General features: G+C 35.1%; 1 long non-coding RNA gene across 7 annotated transcripts in view; it reads left to right on the top strand.

Moving 5' to 3' along the window:
- The window catches only part of LOC105377989 (uncharacterized), a 347578-nt gene that overhangs the window by 273270 nt on the left and 49750 nt on the right, over positions 1–24558 (top strand). For all 7 annotated transcript variants that reach the window (XR_002956387.2, XR_007059748.1, XR_007059747.1 and 4 more), the window contains one exon: positions 19929–20015. This is a non-coding gene — a long non-coding RNA (uncharacterized LOC105377989). The remainder of the gene's footprint in view (positions 1–19928; positions 20016–24558) is intronic.

The raw sequence follows: 24558 nt of genomic DNA, 5'->3' as shown, positions 1-24558 counted from the left end.
GCTGAGGTAGGAGAATCGCTTGAACTCGGGAGGCGGAGGTTGCAGTGAGCCAAGATTGCACTACTGCACTTCAGCTTGGTGACAGAGCAAGACTCCATCTCAAAAAAAAAAAAAAATTAATAGAATATCTGTTATAATGAGCTTGGTATTATGAAGTATGAATAATATTTTCCTCAATACTATTACTGCAATTAATAGTTCTAATTTTGCTATTGTACACTAGAGCAGTCTTATTCACTAAACTGCTTTTTGAAACTTTTTACCATATTATAGGCATGGATGGCAAACACAACACTTACATGTGATAACATACCATTCTATAGTTTAAAGAATAATGCTACATATCTTATAGGTAATTGAGACCTATCAATTAAATTCAATAGTTGCTCATTATTCACTTGGCTTTACTTTACAATCCTGGTTGAATATCTGTTAATATTTTTCTCTATATATATTGAAAATGATATATATACTTACATGCAGATACATAATACATATATGCATATATATGAATATATGTGTGCATGTTTATACATATATATACAAAACACCCACATATATGTATCTACATATATGCACATATGTGTAAATGTATGTGTGTATATATACATGAACATATATACATATATGCATAAATACACACATACCTGTACCTATTGTATTAGTCCATTTTCACACTGCTATAAAGAACTACTTGAGACTAAGTTGTTAATGAAGAAAAGAGGTTTAATTGACTTGCAGTTATGCAGGCTTAACAGAAAGTATGGCTGGGAGGCCTCAGGAAACTTTCAGTCATGGTGGCAGGTGAAGGGGAAGCAAGGACCTTCTTCACAGGTTGGCAGGATAGAGAAGCTGAGCGGGGAAGTGCCACACATTTTTAAACCATCAGATCTCGTGAGAACTCATTCACTATCACAATAACAGCATAGGGGAAATCTGCCCCCACGATCCAGTCACCTCCCACCAGGCCCTTTCTCCAATTCGACATGAGATTTGGGCAAGGACACAAATCCAAACTATTGTCACCTATCTCTAGTGTTTTAAAACTAAAAATAACATTGTTTATTGCATATTTCAGGGCACTAGTGACAGTTAAGATGGAAAAGTTAAATATGAATGCTTATCTTTTCTCTGTTCTTCTTCCACTGGTACAATATTAATGCTGTGAACTTAGTTTGTCCAACATCTAACACATTTCCTGAGAGCAATTAAAGAGCCACAAGGGAGTAATTAAAGAGCCACAAGGGATACAGTGTACTTAGAGAAATGGGGTTGGGCAGAAACTGAAGGATAAGCGTTGCACGTACTGTTCACTCTTCCTGGAATACTTTAGTGTATCTGGAATATTCTATATCTTCTCCCCTTTCAGTCAGAATTAATTGCTATCTTTTCTGTTCTCTGGGGCCTTATAAATTGTGAATTATTGAATTCATTTTATTTTTTAAAATACGAATTCTCTGATTTTAGTATGTAAATTTCTTTATTACCTATTAAATAAGAGTTGTTAATTGTGTCATTTAAAGCCTCTGCATTTTTATTTTTTGTATACTGTTGATTTATTATGGGCATATTATTCTCAAATTATAATACTATATTTTTTCATATATTTCTATGAGTTTGTCAACATATAGCTATGCTGTCATAGGCATAAAAGTTAATTTGTTTGTCTGCTATATACTATCTCATTGTAAATAGCATATAGCTTAATTTTAAAAACTAGATCAGCTCTGTATTTTAATGTATCACTTTAACACTTTAACATGCTTTTTTGGTGATTAAATATCACCTTTATCATCTCCCTATGTTAAAATCATTGGAATTTTTATTCCAGAATTTGATTCCTAATTGATTTCTTTAAGCTACAGTTCAGCAAGTATTTAAAATGGCTTTCTTGGTTTCTTGACTCACCACTTTTTCTGCTAGCCTGCTTCTTCCTACTCCTTGGGCTCTTTTTCTCCTGTGTTATACTTGAGTAATTTTCTCAGAGAACTATGGTTGGCAAACTTTCTGACTCATTACACATTTCTAAATGTTGCTATTTTGAATTTCAATGTAGTTAAGTATTTTAGGTTCAAAAACAGTTGTTTTTTTCTTAATGATAACATTAAAGATATAGCACCATTATCTTCTACCTCTCAGTATTGCAAAGGAGATAATTTCTTGTTCATCTGATTTGTGGGTTGCTTCTTGTAGTTAACTAATTCTTTTCCCTCCTAAATCTTGTAGGATTTTCTTTTCATCTTTGAATTTCTAAAACTTCAGTATGGTGGCCTAGGTGTTTATTTTTATTCGTCTTTCTTGGCACTCTAAGACCTTTCAGCTGTGCAATTAGATCCAAAATTTTCTTCTTTAGTTTTCATGATTTCTTTGTCATTTCTCCCATTCCATTCTCTTTGCTCTTTTTAGAACTCCTATTAAATTGATGTTGGAATTTCTTTTCTTTGTCTATTGACCTTTCTCTTATCCTCTCCACTTCTTTGCTCTTTAGTGTTATGTTCTGGGAGATGTCCGTGGTTCCATTCTCCAGCTCACAGATTTAGCATCTGGCTGCACCCATTCTCTATTTAATCAATTTATAGAGGGTTTTGTTTTTGTTTTTCCATTTCAACTACCTTAGTTTGTATTTCCACAATCTTTATTTGATATCTTATCGATACAGAATTCTATACTAAAAGTTTATTTTCTTTATTGTATCTCTTTTTCATTATTGTTTTCTTTTTTTTGTTATTTGTGTGAAGTCTCTTTGTTTTGGTTTTCATCAAATTATTAGTAATTTTGTTGTTTTATTAATATTTTTTGAGTACTCTGCCCACCTCAGTATGGGTTCTAGTTATATTTAATCATAAACTGCTTTTGTGATTTTGGGTGAAAGATAAAAATATTTCAGATTTTGTAGACAGCTTTCAGACCTCTTTCCTGTTTTTCATGAGCTACTGCAGATTCGTTATCTAAATATAAATATATTTTTTATTTCATGGCATTTTAGACAGAAGAGCAGTTGGACATACATGTTCCTTCTTCCATATTGCTCCAATCCTCTTTTCATAATTGGAAATTGTTACAATAAAGTTTATTTTATTCCTTCTCTTACTGTATTCATAGATAGATATCAATATAGAAATTGTTAGAGAGACAGATACAATTTTTCTTTGATTTCATGGTATTTTAGGCATAAGAATAGGTGGAAATGTATGTTTCTTTCTGCCATATCGATCCAATCTTCTCTTATATTTTTAAATGGTTAAAATAATGATTATCATGTTCCTTCTTGTCTGGATTACAAGCTCTTAAAAGTGTAGATGACATCTTATTCTTCTGTGCATTTTGTACATGTCTTGCCCATGATGTCTGTTTGGTAAGCTTTTGCTGAACTGAAGGGAGGTAAACAGAATGTTAAAGAAAAAAGTTTCCTAAGCACCAGAAACTTTGTTTATTAACTCCAGGCTAGGCATGAATCACCAAAGGGTCAGAAAGAAGAATTATGAAGTGTTAACATTTAATAAATAGTACAATGGTGAAATCAATCAAATACTCACTTGAATCAATCATTTTCTGTGATTTTTAAAATGTGTAAATAGGCAACTTGATCAACTGAAGTAATCACGTATTTTAATTCAAGGGTAGAATTTTTCATACTTGAATCAGATTATCTTAATATCTTTAATTTTCCTCACAGGTCCTTCTCACTAAAAGAAAATGTAAGTCACTAAAATTATGTCTCAGTTTATAATCATTTGAACTCTTTCCACTAGATCCAATCATGAATAATTTCCTCCATGGGTGAAAGAAGAAAAAAATCAAAACAAAACCTCTGTTCTCTTCTCTTTAAATCTTCTAGTTTGATTTATTGCTATACCAATCTGAATGAATTTTAGATAATTACAGGAACAATGGGAGTGACTCAACATTTACATGGAAAATTTCTTCTGAAATATAATGATAAATAAAAAGAAAGTCTCCTTTTAATTAATACCTACTCTGGGATGTCCCTCCTATATAGTAAAGTTATTTAAACTCAGAAAAGTTTACCTAACAAACATAAGGATGACTAGTATCAAAATAAAGAGAAGAAAATAGTAAGTGTTTGCAAAGAAGTGAAGAAGTTGGAGCCTTTGTGTACATGTGTTGCTGGTGGGAATGTAGAATGGTGCAGCCATTGTGGAAAATAGTACAGCGATTCCTCAGAAACTGAAAATAAAGTTACTAACACAATCCAACAATTCCACTTCTGTGTAAATGCCCCAAATAATTAAAAACAGGGACTCAAACTGATATTTATACACCCATGTTCATCACAGCATTATTTACAATAGCCAATAAGTGTTCATGGATAAACAAAATGTGGTATACACATAGAATGGAATGTTACTCAGCTTTAAAAAGTAAGAATATTGTGACACATGCTACAACATACGTGAACATTGAGAATATTTGGCTAAGTGAAATAAGCCTGTCACAAAAAGACAAATACCATGTAATTCCACTCAAGGATTGCTTGAGCCCAGGAGTTCAAGGCCAGCCAGGGAGGCATGGTGAAAAGCCTGTCTCTATAAAAAATAAAATAAATAAAATAGCCAGGTGTGGTGAAGCACACCTGTGGTCCCAGCTACTAAGGAGATTGAAGTGGGAGAATTGCTTGGGCCTAGGAGGTCGTGGCTGCAGTAAGAAGCCAAATTCATAGACAAAAAGTAGAAGTGTAATTGATAGAAGCTGAGGAGATGAGGGAATGGGAAGTTGTTGCTCAAAAGATGTGGAATTTCAGTTGGAGAAGATGAAAAAGTTCTGGATATTGATAGTGGTGATGGTTGCAGAACAAGTTATGTATTGAATGCCACAGATCTGTATGCTTAAAAATGTTGATATGGTAAATTCTATGTAATGTATATTTTGCCACAAAGGTTCAGGACATGACTTTAATCTGTGATGGTTACAGAACAAGGTATGTATTGAGTGTCACAGATCTATACACTTAAAAATTGTTAAAATGGTAAGTTCTGTGTAATGTATATTTTGCCACAATTAAAAACAAGGACCAGGAGGGTTAAATAATGTTCTTAAGTTCTTTCATTGATAAGTAGGAAAGTGAGAATTTCAACCCAGGTACATGTTCATTCATTCAATCAGCAAATTTATTAAGTTCCTACGATATGCCAGGTACCATGCTAGTGCTGGGATAGATCAGAGAACCAAAGAAAGATCCCTGGCCATGTGTAGCTTAAATTCAAGTTGAAGGAGAGAGACAATAAACCAAAATAATTAAAGTGTAAATTATGTGGTCTGTGAGAGGCTGGTAAGTTACTGATAAAAGGAAAATTGAAACAAGGTAAAAGAACTTAGGATTGCCAGTATAACTGACTTCTAAAACCAGGCTTCATCCAGAAACCTATGCTGTCAGGATATAATATTTCAGAAAAAAAATGAAATAATGTTATTTACCAGTTTTCTTTACTTTGGATGTGTTTTTGTTACAGCTGTTTTCTCTTTTCCTGCAAGTACTTTATTAAGAAAGTAAAAATTGGCATGTTTTACTTCTCTAAGAAGCAGAACCAGCCTCTTTAGAACAATGCCTGAAATAATATTTCTTCTCTAAGAACACCTCAGCATGTAGATTATTGTCCCTCTTACAAACCTGGGAAATAAAAGACACGTGGGAGCTTGGGAAGGACTCATGCACCTTAATTGGGTAGAACGATCTTGGGCAATACAAGAATTCTCAGATTTTAAAATATAGATATTAAAGTATCTTTATTTAAATTCCTGGATCAGGATTTTACCAGTTGTGTGGCCTTGAGAAAGACAGACTTTCTCATAGGCAAAATGAATACTAAAAATCAGCTCCATGGCCAGGTGCGGTAGCTTACACCTGTAATCCCAGCACTTTGGGAGGCCAAGGCAGCAGGATCAGTTTAGCCTAGGAGTTCAAGACTAGCCCCGGTAACATAGTGAAGGCCATGTCTCTACAAAAAATAAAATAAATAAATTAACCAGGTGGGTTGAAGCATGCCTGTGGTCCCCGCTACTCAGGAGGCTGAGGTGGGAGGATCGCTTGAGCCTAGGAGATTGAGGCTGCAGTGAGCTATGATCATACCACTGTAACCCAGCCTGGGTGACAGAGTGAGACTGTCACAACAACAACAGCAACAACAACAACAACAACATCAGTTCTACTCACTTTATAGGGCTGTTGTACATAGTAGTAGAGAAGCAGTTTGTTACTTCTCAAGCACTATGTAAAGAGGAATTAGTCTGTAGTAATAATATTATGACATAAGCTTCTTTTCATTGAATATGATGAACTGATTTTGGAAGACCCATAGTTGCCCTAAATGTGTACTGAGGCCTTAAACATTCTCAGGTCACAAGGGAGGAAAGAACAAACTTTTTCCTGCCCAAGTGCCAACGGATACACAGTAGCTCTCTCATGTAATCTCTGGTGTGGAGTGAAGAATTGCGAGTGGGAACATCAGAATCACAAAGTTCTTACAAGCAGCCATTTTATGCAGATGTCCTGAAATAGTCTTGATTTCAGCATTTTTTTCTCTTCTAGGAAAGTAAATCATTTTTTTCTTCCATCTTTATGGTTGTGTAAGTTCACTAAGAAGTGGAAATTGATGCATTATTTACAACCAGCTGGTGAATTCACTGCCAGTGTAACAGAGCTCTAATTTACTCACCAAGTGAAAATGTTCAAGTCAAATTTGAATTATGTCACCCAGTGATGTGTAAACGTGTACAAAAGTATGCGTTAATGCACTGCCTTGTCCCCCATGGAAACCAAGTGTGGCTACCCTAGAAGGAAGTGACTGCTGGTCTGCAAGAGTGAGAACTCAATTCATGATGCAACTTTTTAGAAAAATTAATGCAGTATGTTTATATTTTGTATCCATTACACTATGTTACAATTATATTTGTAGCTGTCTAACCTCCTCCTTCTTTTATACTGTGAGAGTCTGAAAGTCTTACGATGTGTCCCTATTGTTAAGGGAATACTTGGCACATTGATGGTGGGGTATTGCAGCTGGAATCATTTCCTGATTCAATGTTGAAAGCCTGAGTGGTCCATGATTTGTAGTGCAACCCAGGCAGCTCTCGATGAAGAAGGAGACTTGCTTGGGACACAATCTGAGAAAGGCTTGGTACTCAGCAAATGCCTGGCTCCAGGCAGGAAGACAAAGGTTCAGGACATGACTAAACTCTGCACATGGCTGGAGCACTACCTCATATCAATATTGGTTTCTCATCTAGAAAATTCTTGGTTACGTGGACCACAAATCAGAAACCAATATCAGTGAAAGGAAATTTTAGACTTAAAGGCTTACATACTATGATGCCACTAATAAGACAGGGAAAGAAATCAAAGCATGAAATTCAATGGAATGAAGCAGGAAAAAAGTGAGTATAGAAGAATTAGACAACATGTTAAGGAAGAAACTGATTCAAATAAAACAGTGCAAGCAAACACAGGAGGAGGATAAATGTCAATATGGAATTAGAACATTTCAGCACTGAAAGTACAGGAATATTCTAGGAAGTTGTCTCATAAAATAAAGGACATCATATGATTTCCCAAATGTTTACATTGAAACACAGCAGAGAGATGTGACAGCAGTCTGGGCTTAAGAGATCAATTTAGGAGTGACCAACCTCCAGGTGCTCCCCTCTGGCATCCTTCTTACATGTTTTCAGTAATCTTTCCAAAACATGGATATAATCATGCCATTGCCTATATACAAAAATCTTCAATGAAAGATATGAAAAATAAAGTTTAAATACTTCAACATAAGCATTCAAATACCAAAGTTTGGCCCTTTCTAAACTTTTCCATCCAATTTCCACACCCCGGCTTTCCACAGAGCCATGGCATCAGCCCATGTACTCATTTGACTGCAAACATGTTTGGCAAAATCCTTTGGATTTTTGCTCAGGGCATTTTCTCAGTCTAGATTGCATTTTCCCATAAATATCCATCTTCTGAAATCCAATTTATTTATAAAGGCTCTTTAAAAATCTTGGTTACTCCAAAAAAGATTTTCTACATTTTCCCAGGTGAATTTCTCCCTTAGTACAGCGTTTGTATCTACTGGTGTAACGTTGGTTAGTGTTATTTAGGCTCACGTCCATCTCTGCACCCAGACTATGGACCTCCAGAGGGCAGAAGCCCCATAGTCCTTACACTCTTAAATTTAGCAAATAGTCCTTACTCAAATAATGTTTCTGACACTAATCTCAAACATAAATTAAACATTGTTTTAACCCCTCCTTTGTATGAGTCTTTTTATTACTATTAAAATCAATTATTACTTTGATGTTTAATTTAACTTAAAAAAAACTTCTTTTCCAACCACAAAAAAAGCCCAAGAAATTTTCCTCTATACTGTCTTTAAAATTGATAATTTACCATGCAGCTATTTGCACATTAAAAAAAATTATCAACTTATTTATAAGCATTTTTGCTCAATTTCTGAAGAATCAGAAAAGCATATTGAAGATATATTCTACGCTGTTTGGTGGCTTTCAAATATTCAGAAGGAAGAGTCTAGCTTCTCTGAGAATTATTTTATGACAGTAAGGTAACGATCACCACGAGGAAGAGACTCTGAATAATAGCATGGGGGAGAATATGGTTCCAAGTTCTGTTGTGAATCTACCCACCAGAATCAGGCTGAAAGAAAGTAAAAACATTTAATGTTCATAAAATGATAAGGGATAATAACATAGATAATTACCTAATTAATTTAACAAATGACTCTAGAAACCTGAGCTGTTCTTACATAGGAGGGGAGATGGGGGCATGGGGGTGACAACCTCGTAGCTTTTCTCTTCATTGTAAAAAAACTAAAAGTACTTTTGTAAAAAAGAAACCCAAACCTAGCATTTTCAATAGGGTGGAATTGTGAGAGAACTTGTAGGTTTAGAGAAGAACCAGTATTTCCATATAGCTGCAGTGTCATGAATACAGGAAGAAGAGTTAGGCAGAGATTAAAGCTTAAGTGAATTTGTAGATCATATTAAAACCTTTGAATAATTTTGATTGCAGGATTCTGCCTAATATATCATATCATATGCCTAGGTCAACTTAATTAAAATTCTTCATAAATATTGTTTGAATGACTTTCTATCCAATTGATATGTTATTATATTATTTGTTTAAGGATAACTTGGGTGTTGGGTACTTTGGTATTTTTAAAAATTTTTTTTCACTATTATAAACATCACAATGGTAAACATCTTTGTAAATCTTTGTTTCTTCTTGTCCATCTCTGAATTTTTCCTAGAAGAAGCACTCTTAAGGTAAAACTAGAAACATATTAGAATCAAAGAAGCCAGACATAATCGTGGCCCTATTCCAGGTTCTCATTTTTCTTTAGTTAGAAAAATGTGGGATTGCAACTACAGACTATTAATTAATCTCCCAGCATCCAGTCTTGCACCCCTCCAATCCACTCCCTGTATTAAGCCAAAGTAAACTTTCTAAAATATAAATCTTATCACGTCCTCCCTACTAAACCTCATACAATAGCTCCTCAATGTGTCACATGTGAACTAGTGAACTATCCAAATTCAAGAACATGTTAAGACTTCTAATATATATTACTGAATTGCTTGCAGGAAAGTTGCAGCAATTCATTCTCCAACAAGCCGTGTACAAGATATGGATCTTATGCCATTACCAACATACAGTATTCTCATATGTCACACATATCATAGTGATTTGTTGTTGTCTGTCTCTCTCATTAATTTATAAACTACTTACGATAAGGAATGCTGCCTTATTCATCATTGAATCCTAACACCAGAGCTGAGATAGTGAACAATGAAAGAATTAATACTACTTAGCACAAGTACTTCATCTGTATGTAGGATTTAAAATTCCTTTACCCTTTGCCCTGCTGGGATTTAAGGAGAGGCAGGGTCAAGGCCAGGAGCTGAGAGGTCAAACAGAGGTTGCAGTATCAGACATGAAACCAAAGGTCAAGGTAAGTAATGCAAAAACCATAGTTCAGAGTATCTGACAAAAGTTGATCTTTTATAGATTATTTTATTATTGTTTTTAAGTTCCCTACATCCTGTATACTAAGTAATACATAGTTATTTGACTGAAAAAGCCCAGGTAGGGAGATCAGGTGAGATAGCCCCATCTCACTCAGTTATGCTCCTTTGAAGAATGCCTTTCTGTTGGAACTGACTGAACAGTTTCATATGCAAGGCAAGCCACGTGCAGGGACGGTTCATCCACTCTTCAGAGAAGTCTCATGTGTGTGTATCCTCCCTCTAGCAGAGTGCCTTTCAAACTTGAAGATGCATACAAATTACTGGAGGGTCTTGTTATTCTGATACAGAAACCCTGGCTTGGGTATTCTGCATTTCTAACAAGCTCTCAGGTGATGCTGCTGGTACACGGACCACACTTTGAGTAGGCATACTCTAGCATACTTTCTGCTTAATCTCAAAATATTGTTGGGAAACTTAAATATCAAGAATCTAGACAATGTACCTGGTTATTATTTAAGTACTTCGTGGATGCTCATTGTAGAAGCATCTTTTCGTCCCTTCCAGTGGGTCTCAAACTAGGCTACATGTTAAAAGCATCTGGGAAGACTTTAAAACATACTCATGGATGCCAGGATTCCATTCAGATGAATCAAATCAGATTATCTTGGGAAGGAGACCAGGAATGGGTATTTTTTAAAGCTTCTCAGGTGACTATTTTCTCATATAAGGAGATTGCATGGTGATGAATTGCAAGTGCACCTGAGTTCTGAGTTTGAGGCTCCAGGTCCTCCTTTTGGATGGTACACCAGAGAGACATTAGGTATTTAGGAGAAGGGCAGGCAGCACCTTGTGGGAATCCATTCTACTCTTTGGGCATATGTAGTGGTTGCCAACCCAGCAAAGCATCAGAAATCAGACTTGCCTCTGGAACTTTGTACATCTACAGATTCCCAGGCACCACCAGTGGGTAGGCAAGGCTCTGAAATCTGGATGTTGCTGTTTTAATGCTTTTAAATGTTTCTCAGTGATTCTGATGCCCCACCAAGTTTGAAACCACGGCATGCATACCAGCCAGAGAAAAGGGAAATTCATCAAATACATACTATGATAGTAACTCTGCTAACAAACGAAGGTCTAGTTATATCTTTAATGCCTCAAATAATAGCCAATTCACTGAAATACGTAAGTTCTTTGGTGTCAAATCTTCACAAAATAATTATAATTAATAGATTCATCACTTTTTACCTGATTTGGAGGGTTCTGCCAGTAGTACTTTGACCATAATTCAGCTTCTCTAAGAAACACTTAAGCCTTCCTTGATTGTGACTTTGGCTTCGCTATGCCTCGAGTTTCCCAAGCTGTGTATGTATTGACGGAACTCACAGGAAAAGACTCAATAAGAGTTCTGTTGTGCTTTAACTATAAAGCACCCTTTAAATAACTTTCTCTTCTATGGGAAAATTCGACTGAAGTGTCTTGGGATGGCCAAACACAACTATTTACAGAGGAGTATATTGCTTCAGAAAGGATAAACCACCAAAAGCAGGGTCCTTGACCTAAGAGGCTTAAGCTTTAAGATGGGGTAAACAAATGTAAGATAACTGTAAAACAGAGTCAATCTCAAGGCTGGAGAGCCAGCAGCCCTGGAGGCTGCGCAGAAACAGAGTGGTATTCACTTCTAGCACCTCACAAAATAAACTGACTTCTAGAAAACACTGGTTACTTTCAGACCCAAGAATAGTTTAGAAATTGAGGTTTTCAGTTGTAGGTTTTTATAGGGAAAGTTGGAAATAAGATATTCAATTCAAAGTGTGGTTGTTTTAGCTTCAGTTAACATTATATAGATGAGATTTATCACTATCTAGGCCAGGTTTGCTACCAATTTAGTTTTAAATATTTTACTGAGTAGATTTTTGTATGATGCCAAGACTTTTCCATTGGTCTATTTAATGGTTTTATTTCTATTTTTATTTTTTTTTGGTCAGACTAAAATATTTATTTAATTTAATTAATTTATTTTTATTAATGTAACTCAGTATAATACACTAAATAAATTTGACAGGAGCTGATCAAATGCTTGGCAGTCTCAATTTCATTTGCAATTAGTCTTTCAGAGTATTCTGCCTTTGGCTCCATAATGTTAGCATAAGAAAGAAAATGTAGTCAAATCCCTAAGTGATATTTGGTCATTAATAGTTTAATGTGTGTTTATTTTTTTCTTCCAGGTTTTTATTTCAGAAAATAAATCCTGGATTATGTTCTCAAAGGAATTATAATTATTTTGTGTATTTTTTTCTTAAAACCATGTAGGCATTTTTTTCCCCTAGTGGTTTTTATAAAGGTTTAACAACTGGCAGCCCTGGAATCTGATGACCTCTTTCTTTCCTTTGACTAGATAAGGTAGTGCAGCTGCTCGGTAACTTTTCCCATAGAGGCTGCCAATGGTGGTGGGGGGACAGGGTGTCCCTCTGTAATTTGATCTCCACATAGGATCAGACCTGGTCCTTGTCAGGGCTGAAATTGTGTGCTATATTAAGTTACGTTTAATGTTTTCTGTCCTGCTCCTTAAACTACTGTTTGCAGAGACCATCCAACCTACAGAACTTCCTTGAGTCCGTTGGGGAACCAAGTTACAGCAGTCCACATGGTCATTCAGTCGACAGGCTGTCTGGAGCCAGCTTCTTTAGAATCCACTGGTGATGTTTCTGGCAAAACGATTCACATTTCTAGTAAAATCTCATCACATAAGAAAAGTTAATAATCTTTGGTGAGAAATGACTTGGGCTATGAACCTACAGAGCAGGAAATTGAGAAGCGGTCGGGCAAAGTTTAGAGATGAGCAGTTTGGTTTTGGTGTATTGCTTTTACTTAGCCTACCCCAACCTTACACTACCTTTTGTGTCTGCATTTGTAACTTCTTGTGCCCCCACCGTTATCCTCTAGTTCACTGATGTTCAAACACAGGTGTGCATGAGACTCATTCCTGCACCTTATCCATAGACAGTCTGATTCAGAAGTTTGGTGCAAGGTCTTAGAGGCTACATTTTTAACAAACACCCGATGTTCTCCTCATTCAGGTGGTCTAAAAACTACGCTATGAGAAAAGCATCATTAACAAAATGTGCTATCACTCAGCCGACATTTGTCAAAGGAATGTATAATTCATAGATTATTCATATTTGATTGTGTCAACCTACCCTCGAAAAGTAAAATTTTATCGGGAGATATACATATAGAGAAAAATCTATTCCAAGATACCTATGCAAAACAGTCGTATAGACTTTAAATGCTTGATGAGTTAATAAAAGGGGTAGTTACTATTAGCAGCTGTGGTCATGGAAATATGCCCAATGCTTTAATTTCTTCACTTTCAGAAAAGCTGTTTTTGAAATAGCAAATTTTAAGTAGGAGGGAACCAGGGGTTTGCTTACAATCCCAGCTGATGTTAGAAATACATTTTTGGGAGACTTCATTTATGAAAGCAGCATGCATTAAGCATATGCTATGTGAAATACATATTTTGTTTGTTCATTTTTAAGGCCGCCTCATATCTATTCTGATCAGAATTTAAGTCCTCAGCATTCTTCAACTCTTCTAAAGCAATAGAACATATTTAGTAGGTTTGAAAAGGAAAAAAACATTCCTTACGATTTGACCCAAAAAAAACACCAGCGCTCTTAAAAAAGTCAATTCACTCTTACGAAATCTAATGAGGGATTTAAAACATTTTAAGATGGCTCAATTTATTACAGCCACTACTGGTGCTGCTGCTGTGGCGGAGGCTGCTGGTCTCAAGGGGCGGGGGGTGTATTTTTGCTACTAAAATGTAGAAACGTGCATTGGAACATGGTACGTTTTCTCTTATGTCAAAATAGAATAGTAGAAAGATTCAAAGACTATGTGAATCAGGTGATAATAGCTTCTAATACCAAGGCTGGCATTACCTTGACGATAAGTAAATAAATTAATCTTTCCGTGTCCCAGTCTTTTGTAAAATGGAGGTATTAATAATTCTATCTTGAGTATTTATTGGGAAGGTAAATAAAAGTAATAGAAGTCCTGGCAAATTAAGGAAGATATTTGTATATAAAGCATTATTTTAAAAATATGTACACACACATACACACATATTTTTTTTTTCCTTCCCTGCAATTCTGCAAAGCAACGTATGTAATGAAATTAAGCCTCTTGCAATGGGGCTTTGTATTCTCTGACTTTCACTGATGCACTTCTCTCCTGCCTCTGTTATCACTCTTGGCAATGCAAGAACGGAGTTCAAAATCCTAAGCCAAATTAATACAAACTTAATTGGGCTTCCATAAGTACTATATTAAAGTTGAAATATATAATTATAGCAATGGTGGACTAATAAGTGACAATGTTATCAAGGGCTTAATATTTTTCTAATGATTTCTCAACATTAAATAACATTATTATTGGTTTTAATCAAACAATAAGAAAAAAAGCTAAATTTCAAAAATACTATTTTATATCCACCAACAAATTTTGTTGAGAAACCTCTCTAAAGGAAGCATTTTAGTTTCTAGAACCTGAAATTTCTATTGCCAATTAAAGATCTGTGTTATTAGCATGGCCATTTACAGTTAAGCCATGACATTTTAAACTGAAATACAGACTTGGTTGCTTTCCACAGAAACATTGAACACCTACTATGTGCAATACTCTGTACTTGGTAACGTAGGAGACATAAAAATATTTAAATATTGTTAAAAAAAATGTACCTTGACAGAAACACTGATAAAGAGAAATAGGAGTGAAAGAAATAATGAAAGTAAATAAATAGATTGCCTAAGATTGAAAACTAGTAGAGCCAAGATGCAAAACTAACTGTAGATTTACTCTCTTTATTGTTCTGCCATGCTCCTCTGTATCATTAAGCTTAATTGCAAAGAGTGACCACGAGATATACTCGTCTATTATCTAGTTACAAGGTTGGGTTTTTTTTTTCCTGATTAGTTTCATACTTTGCACTATCAAAAGAAGAAAATAAGGTATTTGAAATGTTTCACCCCATTAAGAAATAACTTTAATGACTGAACCAACATAGTGTATTATCAGGACATATTCATGACCTTGCCCCTTTCTTTCTATGTTTGTTCATTATAGCATCATCCCACTACACTCCAGCCCTTATCATTAGCAATCCATGCAGGTAGTAGACTTACCTGTGGCTTCTAAGTAAGCTCAGTGTTTATGGAGTAAAATTGTTCCTCATCCAAGGGATTTTTTTAACTTATCTAAACCAATTATATAAGCTGCCATGTTTTCTTTCAACAGTTTGACAAATATTGTCTTTTATTGGTTAGAAAAAGAAAGTGGCCCAAAGCATTTATACCTCTTTAGCATGTACTGTTTGAAAGTTTGAGCACAACATGAGATAGGATGCTTTGGAATCCTTGATACCATTTCTTCCCCTGGAGCACATGTGATGGAGCAACAAGACAAGAGTATTATGTCCTTGCTGGAATAACATAAATCCTAGTCAGCCAAGGCAATTTCACAGTGCCTGACCCAAACACCTTGGCTGCTGCTGTCATGCAGGGAGACTTTTTGGCTGAGAATGAGGGCTTGAGTCAGTGATTGCTGAATGCCCTATATTTGGCATTCTACTGTTCATATAAACAGGGAGAACAGAGCAGACGTTCATGACTGTAGCTTTACTGACTGACATTTTGGTGAGTAAACGTCTACCTTGTTAACTCCATTGGGCTTTTTTTTTTTTTAGGTCAATATCTTTCACCTGCTTGTTTTGAAGTTCTAGTTGATGTTGACAGTTCTTTGATATTTATTGATAAAATACCACATTGACATTTCTTTCTGAATTTACTCTGTTGTGTGGATTCAGGAGTACCCCTTTAGCATGGTATTTCTCTATGATTACTTCTTGTATTTAACTTATTTTTTTTCACCCAGAGAGAATTTCTTACAATTATGCTCCAGATTCTCCAGACTCATATTCATTTAGTATTTGTTCATTGCTTAGCACAGTGCTGAATATAGAACAAACATTCATTAACTTTTTAATGGATTGATTGACTAATTGAGTTCACTTGCCATTGACTGTCGCAATGGAAGTAATGAACAGGTATTTACAGTGGACAAATTAGCTCCATTTGTAAGGGCATGGTGCTGTTACTCACAGGGAGAGGGTGGGTGTTGGTCCCTAGAAAGACCAATTTGTCTTATGAATGTTAGCTATTGTGTTCAACCAACCTCTTCTTAAAACTGTGAACCTAATTGCAAGAAAAAGCCTGTAATGAAATTAACAGCAAAAAGCAACAGCCTAAGGATATGTCCCCAAATGGTGGTTCAGTAATGATCATAACAAATTACATATTTGAAAGCAAGTAGAATAATAAAATAAATTTCTTTATCTCCCTGCTTTCTTTACCTTCACCAAATTTTTTGTTCTTTCTTCAAAAAATAATGATCGAGTCCCTACATGAGCCAGACACACACAGTACTAACAGGAAGAGCTATAAGGGCAAAAGAAGCACACCCTGACTCTGCCTGCATTTCAGTGGAAGAGTCAGACAAGCAGAATTATAATCAGGTCCCTATGCAATGCCACTGGAACATACAATCCAGGGTCAACTGACTGGAGGTGGTGGGAGGAGCTAATCAAGTTAGAGGGAATGAGTGCATTCATGCAGGGAATACCATGGGAAAGGCCCAGAGGTAGGGAAAAGAGAGACAGATTAGGAGAACCAAAATGATGTTAGCACAAAGTTGGGGTCAGGAGCAACAGGAATGAGAGTTGACATTGAAGTGTTATAAATGAACCACGTTACTGTAAAAACATTAAGACTTTACTCCAAAGTAATGAAAAAGAGTGGGGATTTTAAGCAGAAGCATGGCATGCTCAAATTTGTGTTTTTGACACTTCCCACTGATGGGGCTGGGAGCTGGGGGAAGACAGGAGGCATGGAGATAGGGGATTGACAGAGAGGATTGGAATAGCTAAATGAATTTGAATCATATCAACAGGACTGGAGTCTGGCTAAATGTAGGGGGTTTAGGGGAGAGTGAGTCAAGGGTATATATATCTGAGTCAAGGGAAGGTAGCAGCACTCACTAAAATAGGAATCAGAGAAGCAAGATCAAGTTAAGAAAAGGAAGTTCATGGATTCAATTTTAGCTTTGATAAATTTGAAATGCAGAAAAGGCATTTCGGCCAAAATGCTAAACAGATCTTTCTTGTTCATAATGACCTTGTAATTGTAATTCATATATTCATAGATGTTCATTTTTATATTGCTCTTTTTTACCTTCATTCCTATCATTATAGTCAAAGTTACCTACTCTACTTAAGCAAAGGCTATGAGGGACACCAAGGAGTATAGGCAATCTCCTTGAGGTGTTAAGAGCATGGATAGGTAGATAAGACCTACATTGAAAAACAATTAGGTAAAAAAAGCATCATGTTTAGGGAAGGGTATATATATATATATATATATATATATATATATATATATATACACACCCTGTAATGAGTGCTGTTATATATATACCTTTTCTGTATGTAATATATGTATATATAACAACATATATGCAATATGTGTATATATAACATATATGTATGTGCCTTTTCTATTTGTAATATATGTATATATAACAAATAGCACCGGTTATAGTATGTCAAATAATAGAGAGGTTGAACTGAACTAGGGAAAATTTCATGTAGAAACTAGGACTTGGTATCGGTTTCAATAAGGTAAAGACAGGGAAAGATGCTAGATAAGGGCATTTCTAATTTGGGGGCAGAAAGGAAGGGAAAATAAGCTATTTTATCTATAGTTTTAATGTAATGTATGCCTTGCAATATGGTACTACCTAAGCAAATAACTTGCTCATAATGTTTGTTGTAAAAAGAATGACAGCTTACCAGTACACACCCATCCAGGTGTATAATTTTAACTTCTAGCCCTACTGTCTTTCTCATATGTAGAATGTTTATTAAACTGGCAATGAAGGGTGTAGTTCTCTTAGGAAAAACCAGAGGAGGGAGTTGCTGTGCATAAATTTGATCTACCCCGCCTATGCCTCTAATTTCTTGAACAGCGATATGCAAACAAGTTCACTGAGGATTTGTTCTCTCTGTAGTTATTAACAAATATTTGATAAATCATTAACGTGGGACCACTGATTGAAATATTGCTATATTTATTTATTTATTTTAATTTAACTTTTAAGTTCAGGGTACTTGTGCAGGTTTGTTATATAGGTAAACTTGTGTCATGGGGGCTTGTTATACAGATTATTTCATAACCCAGGTATTAAGGCTAGTACCTATTAGTTACTTTTCCTGATCCTCTATCTTTTCCCACTTTCCACCCTCCAATGGGCCCCAGTGTCTATTGTTCCCCTCTATGTCCATGTGTTCTCATCATTTAGCTCCCACTTACAAGTGAGAACACACAATATGTGGTTTTCTGTTCCTGCCTCAGTTTGCTAAGGATAGTGGCCTCCAGCTCCATCCATGTTCCTGCAAAAGACATAATCTTGTTCTTTTTTATGGATGCATGGTATTCCATAGTGTATATGTATCACGTTTTCTTTTTCCAGTCTACCAACATTGCTATATTTAAAGTAGACAAGAAGAGTTAAAATAAAAAAACCACTTACTTGGTGGGAAAATGTGGTCTAAAGGCCAATAACTTAGAACAGTGCTATTCAATAGTAATATAAAGAGAGCCACAAATGTGAGCCACATATACAATTTTAAATTTTCTAGTAGGCACATTTAAAAAAATAAAGGAAACAGGTAAAAGTAATAATATGTTTATTTTTGTTGATAGATCTGAAATATAATTTTAACACATAATCAAAATATGTATATATACATAATCATAAAAATGTATTCGTGTGATATTTTACATTCTTTCATTTTTCATATTAACTGTAAAATTAACTATTTATTTTATACATATAGTACATCTCAATTCAAACTAGGCACATTTGAAGTCCTCAAGAGCCACAGAAGGCCACCATATTGGATAGCAGAGGCTTAGAGTGGAAAACCTCTTACGTTTGGATTGTAATGGTCAGGTTGCTTATTACTGCACACATTCAGTCTGCTCCAAAGATGAATGCTTTGACTTCTTTGTAAAAAGAATTCTCAGAAGCAGAAGAAATAAGAAAACATAAAAGAGAATTAACTACTATTAAACATCTGGGCTCCAGGCAAAGGGCTGGATATTTTATATTTATTATTTCATTAGTCACCACATCAGCTGTTTGTAGTGAGATAAGCACATGTAAATAAATCCATACACAGACAGACTTATAAGTAAATAAACAATTAAGTATTGCACAACAAACCCAATGGACAAAAAAGTGGAAATTCAGAAATTTAGTAAGTTGTTCAAGATTACATAGCTAGTAAGTGGCAGAACCATGAGTCACAGCTAGATCAGTCTGACTCTAAAGCTGATGCACTTTCTACTATGCTTTGCTGTCTCCTAAGGCATATCCCTGGTTTTTCTCAAACTTTCAGTAGTGAATCAGCACATGATTTTGCAGTGAAGAATAAGCTTTTAGCAAGATCTTGTAATAGAAACGTCATCAGGAACTGAATCATTGTAAAGACATGTTACTGGACCTGGCTCTTGGTAGACCCTAAAATTTAGTGAGAAGAAAGTAATTCTAGTGGATTACTCAGAAGAGGTAAATGGGAACTTCGTGAAGGTAAATAAAAATAATGGATTGTATCTGAACAAAGAGTAAGTACATCTCAACTTTAATCCAGGTTTTGCATTTAATTCACTAATGTACCATAACTCACTTAGAAGATTTGCTATTCCAAACATCTGAGATGTGAAAGGAGGGAGTTAACATACAGCATTATGTAAATATTATTGAAAAAGTGAATGTATTTGGTTTACCTTATTTCCTTTCTATTTCTATCCATATAGCCCTACAACCATACTGAGAATTTAGCCCTGGGGACATCTTCCGATATAATCTGGCATAGAAGAGTGGTTATCACACCTTTAGCATGGGTAAGTCACCTGAAAAACTGATAAAACACAAGCTCCAGGCCCCTATCTTCAGAGATTCTGATTCAGTGGGTCTGAGAAGAGACTTGATAATCTGTATTTCCAGTAAGCTCTAAGGAGATACTGATGCTACTGGTCCATGGACCACACTTTTGAGTGGCACTGGTTTAGACAGTGAGGGATAGCTGAGGTAGTTTAATTATAAAGTCTGTTTGTCCTTTGCTAACTGGTCAGCTGCTTCTGGATTCCCTGAACTTCCTCCTTTTGACTCTTTTTTTTCCTGAACTCCGTAGATAGATTCAGTAAGTAACACTTCAATTTATCCCAAGGAAGTGGCAGGAATGACTTCAACAGTCCTTAATTCCTATTTGGATACTGACTTAATGGCCATAGACTACCACATGACAAAGGTAGATTCAGTGCTGATCAAAGTAAGAGAAATTGCAAAGGGATGATCAAAGAGTTCTAGAATCTCCAAATTTGTGCAAGTTTCCTGATCTGGTAGAGTTATATTCTAGAACACTGACAAAATAAAATATTAAATTGATAAATATAGTGGTCTCTGAAGAATTGCAGTGAATGAGATGACAGGGAAGTAAGAAATTGTCATGTTTTGATTCTTCAGAAAGAGAGAGAGAGAGACCAGAAAGAGAATGAGAACTGTTTCCACCAATATCACAGCAGTGCCTTAATTTTGGTTTCTTCATAAGTAATTATGTGATTGTTTATTAGTAACAGTTTATGAATACCATAAGAAAAAATAGAATCCATTTAGCCTATCATGGCTTCCCTAAAAATAAGATGTCTTGTTTTCTTGTTTGAGTGGGCTTCTAAACCATGAAATAAGAAAGTGTGGTAAAAAAGTACAAGTAAATTTCAGACATCTATTTTTATCTCTTCCTATGAATATGACTAAGAAACTAACCAGATGTAAGGACAATAACAGCTGAATGTCTAATCTAATTGATTATAAGGTTTCCGTCGCTCTGGGGGTAGATGGTTATTAGAATGACATACCTTTGTTCTTAGCTTTTTATTCAGCCAAGATGTGAATAAAATATATGTGTTATGCTCATCAATTTTATGGATAGCAAATTAAAGAAAAAATGTGACTATTCTGGTTAATAATATTTTTAGGACTAAAAGAGTGAAAGACTGATTCTAATAAAATACATTTAAACAGCAATTAAATATGTAGAGAATGATAGAAATTAGGTATAGTAGGTAAATAGAAAGAATACAAAGTTGTAGAAAAAATTAAGCTGTATATGATTCAGTGTTAGTACCAAAAAAAAAAAAAAAGCCAATGCAAGGGTTGGTTACCTTAGTTAAAAATAATATATTTAGAATTAGATAATAACTTATTCTGCTTTATTTCTACTATTCACATTAGAAATATAATAGAGTTGGTCATCTGTATCTGAGGGTTCTGCACAATCCCCAATCAAAAATATTTTGTAAAAGTTGTAAAAAATAACATACAACAGTAAAGAATACACATAAAAATATGGCATAACAACTGTTACATAACATTTACTTTGTATTAGGTATTGCAAGTAATCTAGAGCTGATTTAAAGTATATGGGAGGTTGCGTGTAGGTTATATACAAATACTATATTATTTTATATAAGAGACTTAACCATTCACGGACTTTGGTATCCACAGGGATCCTAGAACCAATTTCCAAGTTGAGAAATAACTATTGAGTTGAGCTTTGGGTGACACATTTTATTAGTTTGGTGCAAAAGTAATTGCTGTTTTTACCGTTAAAAGTAATGTGCAGAACTAATTGCAGGTTTTGCCATAAAAAGCATTACTTTTAATGGCAAAAACCACAATTCTTTTTGAACCAAACTAATATAACATATACAGACAAATAGAACAAGCTCCAAGGATAGTTATTAGGGGAGGTACAGAGTGGGAAGCCACATCATATCAGGAAATGTGTATACTGTATCCCTTCCTTTACTGCATTTCAATGCTATCTAGCCACTCGTGTCTGCAATTAGATCCTCAGGAGAGATAAGTCATGGATTATTTTAGCCAAATACGTGTTTACTACTTTCTTCAAAACCTCTGTTTGCTTCCTAATCTCAGGACAATACTAAAATACATTAGGGGTGCCCTTTATTGCGATCACTTAAAGTAAAACTAGAGCCAGCCCCAAACAACCAGTTATATCTCCCTTCCCGATTGTTGTCCCTATGGCTCCTCTCATTCTCCAAATCCAAAGATTTTCTCTTAAGGACAAAGTTTTCTCAAGATGACTCTTCTAAAAGTGAAATAAAAAAAAAATAGAGCAACAGTGGGAGAAGCACCCACTCCCATCCAAAGTGGCACATTCATTCAGTGACTTGAGATATTTGAAGTAATATTGCTTGAAAAAACATATTTGATTAATTCTGAGGGTAAAACATGTACACAAATTGGAAGTAGTGGTGAAAGAGATTCTGGCTCAATATAAGAAAGAACTTGAGGGAAAGGACTCTTGTTTGCTGTATCTTTTCATGTACAGGCCTGGGACTGTACATGGCACACAGTAATTTCAACAAATATTTGGTGATGTGTTGAATGAATAATTAAATAAATAAATGACTCGGAAGAGGAAATAGGCTGTTTATGTCAATTATGGGGGATAATCAAGTAAATAATCAGATGTGATAGAGTTATATGCAACCGATTGTATATAACTCTATCACATCTGATTATTTACTTGATTATTCCCCATAATTAGCATTATATGTAGTTCAGGCATTAAATGGGCCTGAAATTATCTAAAAAATCTGAGAAAATTTGAGATTCTTCTGTAAGTTACTGTCCCTTCTTCTAACAATAACACTTCTAGCTTCTTTGTTATTTTGGTTCTGGACCAGATGTTCACTTAGATATAGTTTGCAGTCAGTTGTAAGTATTCACAGAATTTCTAATCTACAAACACCTTCCTGTGTTTTGTGTTCTGATGATGTCAGACATATAAAGCAAGTTTCCTGACTTACGCAGTTCATGATATATTTTATCAATATTTTAAGCCCAGATGCCATTTAGGTGATTAGATAGATCAAATAATAAAGCACATATTTTGCTACTTAATTCATCTGGGAAAAACCTGCCATGCCCTCTACTACTTTCCTTGCTCCAAGAAAAGTGATTGGGAAGAGAAAACATTTTGTGGTTAAACAGTCCTGGATATAAATTTCAGCTCAGCCATATTTCAGTTGTATAGCATAAGGCAAGCCACATTACTTTTCTAACTTAGTTTCCTTATCTATGAAATTGAATAAGAGTATATACCTTACATGATTTTTATGGATATTGAATGAGATGTTGCACTTTAAGTATCTATTACAATCCCTGGCCTACAGCAGACTATAGAAATGGCAAAGGCATTGCTGGTGGTGTTGATAATTATGGATAATTAAGTATTTATTTGCTTCTTCTCCTTCTGCGAAGAAGATCAATTCAATTGGTTTTATTGAAAAAAACAATCTCAAGGCATTGAGTATTTTTAGTATTTCTCCTGAGGTTTTATTAAACAGTTTAAACAAGCAGAAAAAATAGGTCATTTGCCCATAAACTGCCAAGATTTTCAGACTGTTGCCTGTTTTGGAAAGTCAGCATTCATTTCAACCATATTGAAATCATATGCTGAGCAAGTCTACAGTGAAAGGACAACCCAAAGTCATGCTAAGGAAAACAGTTTGGCCCACGTCCATCCAGCTGTAAATAAATTTGGATTTTTCTTGATAGACAGGAATCAGGTTTCTTTATTACTGTAGGGAAGAAGAGGTAGAAGCCATGAAAGAAGCTTATGTAAAATATTTACACAAGTCTTCTTTGATACGTTAATGAGCTAGATTCTTTGAAATGAAGCCTACTTTTGCCTTTACTACTTTCTTTATAAACATAATGAGCAAGAAACTTAGACCTGGAAAATCTTTCCTACTTGTCACTAATTTGGTTGCTTCAATTGAAGTATTATGCCAGTTTTAAGCAAAAGAAATGAAGACATCATTGTACAGCAATGCTTATTTTTCTGATTATCTGAAAATAATAAAGATCATGGTGCAATGGACCTGGGTAAGAAGACCATTATTGCCCATGAAGATGGCCAGAATGAATGAGGTTGGCTGGGCTGTACTCCCACTATGCTCCTAAACCTGAGCACTGGGGTTACCAGCAGGTTGGACATTTAGGTCCGTTGTCATTCAATGACACTGAGATTACATGGAATAAAAAAGCAAAAGATTTAGCTCTTTTGACTCTGAACTAAATGCTGTCCAGAGACTTTGAATGGTTGGCACTAAAAAAAATAATAATAATAATAATAAAACCTATTTTAAGTGAACTACCTTATGACATTCAATGCTGAAAAATGTAGTCAGGAGCTCAGCAAGACTCCAATAGGAGCTGTAAAACTGTAGTTATTGAAAAGTGCAAATATAGTATATCTTTCAAGTATTAAAAACAGACATTCTCCTTGGCAGCTGTCAGAAGAAATGTGTCTTAGCAAATTTCCTGACTGAACTAAAGCATTCAGCATTTACT

This window comes from Homo sapiens, chromosome 6 (assembly GCF_000001405.40).
Source record: "Homo sapiens chromosome 6, GRCh38.p14 Primary Assembly".
NCBI lineage: Eukaryota > Metazoa > Chordata > Mammalia > Primates > Hominidae > Homo > Homo sapiens.
The sequence above is the reverse complement of the archived record's forward strand: the minus strand, read 5'-3'. Positions and strand labels throughout refer to the sequence as shown.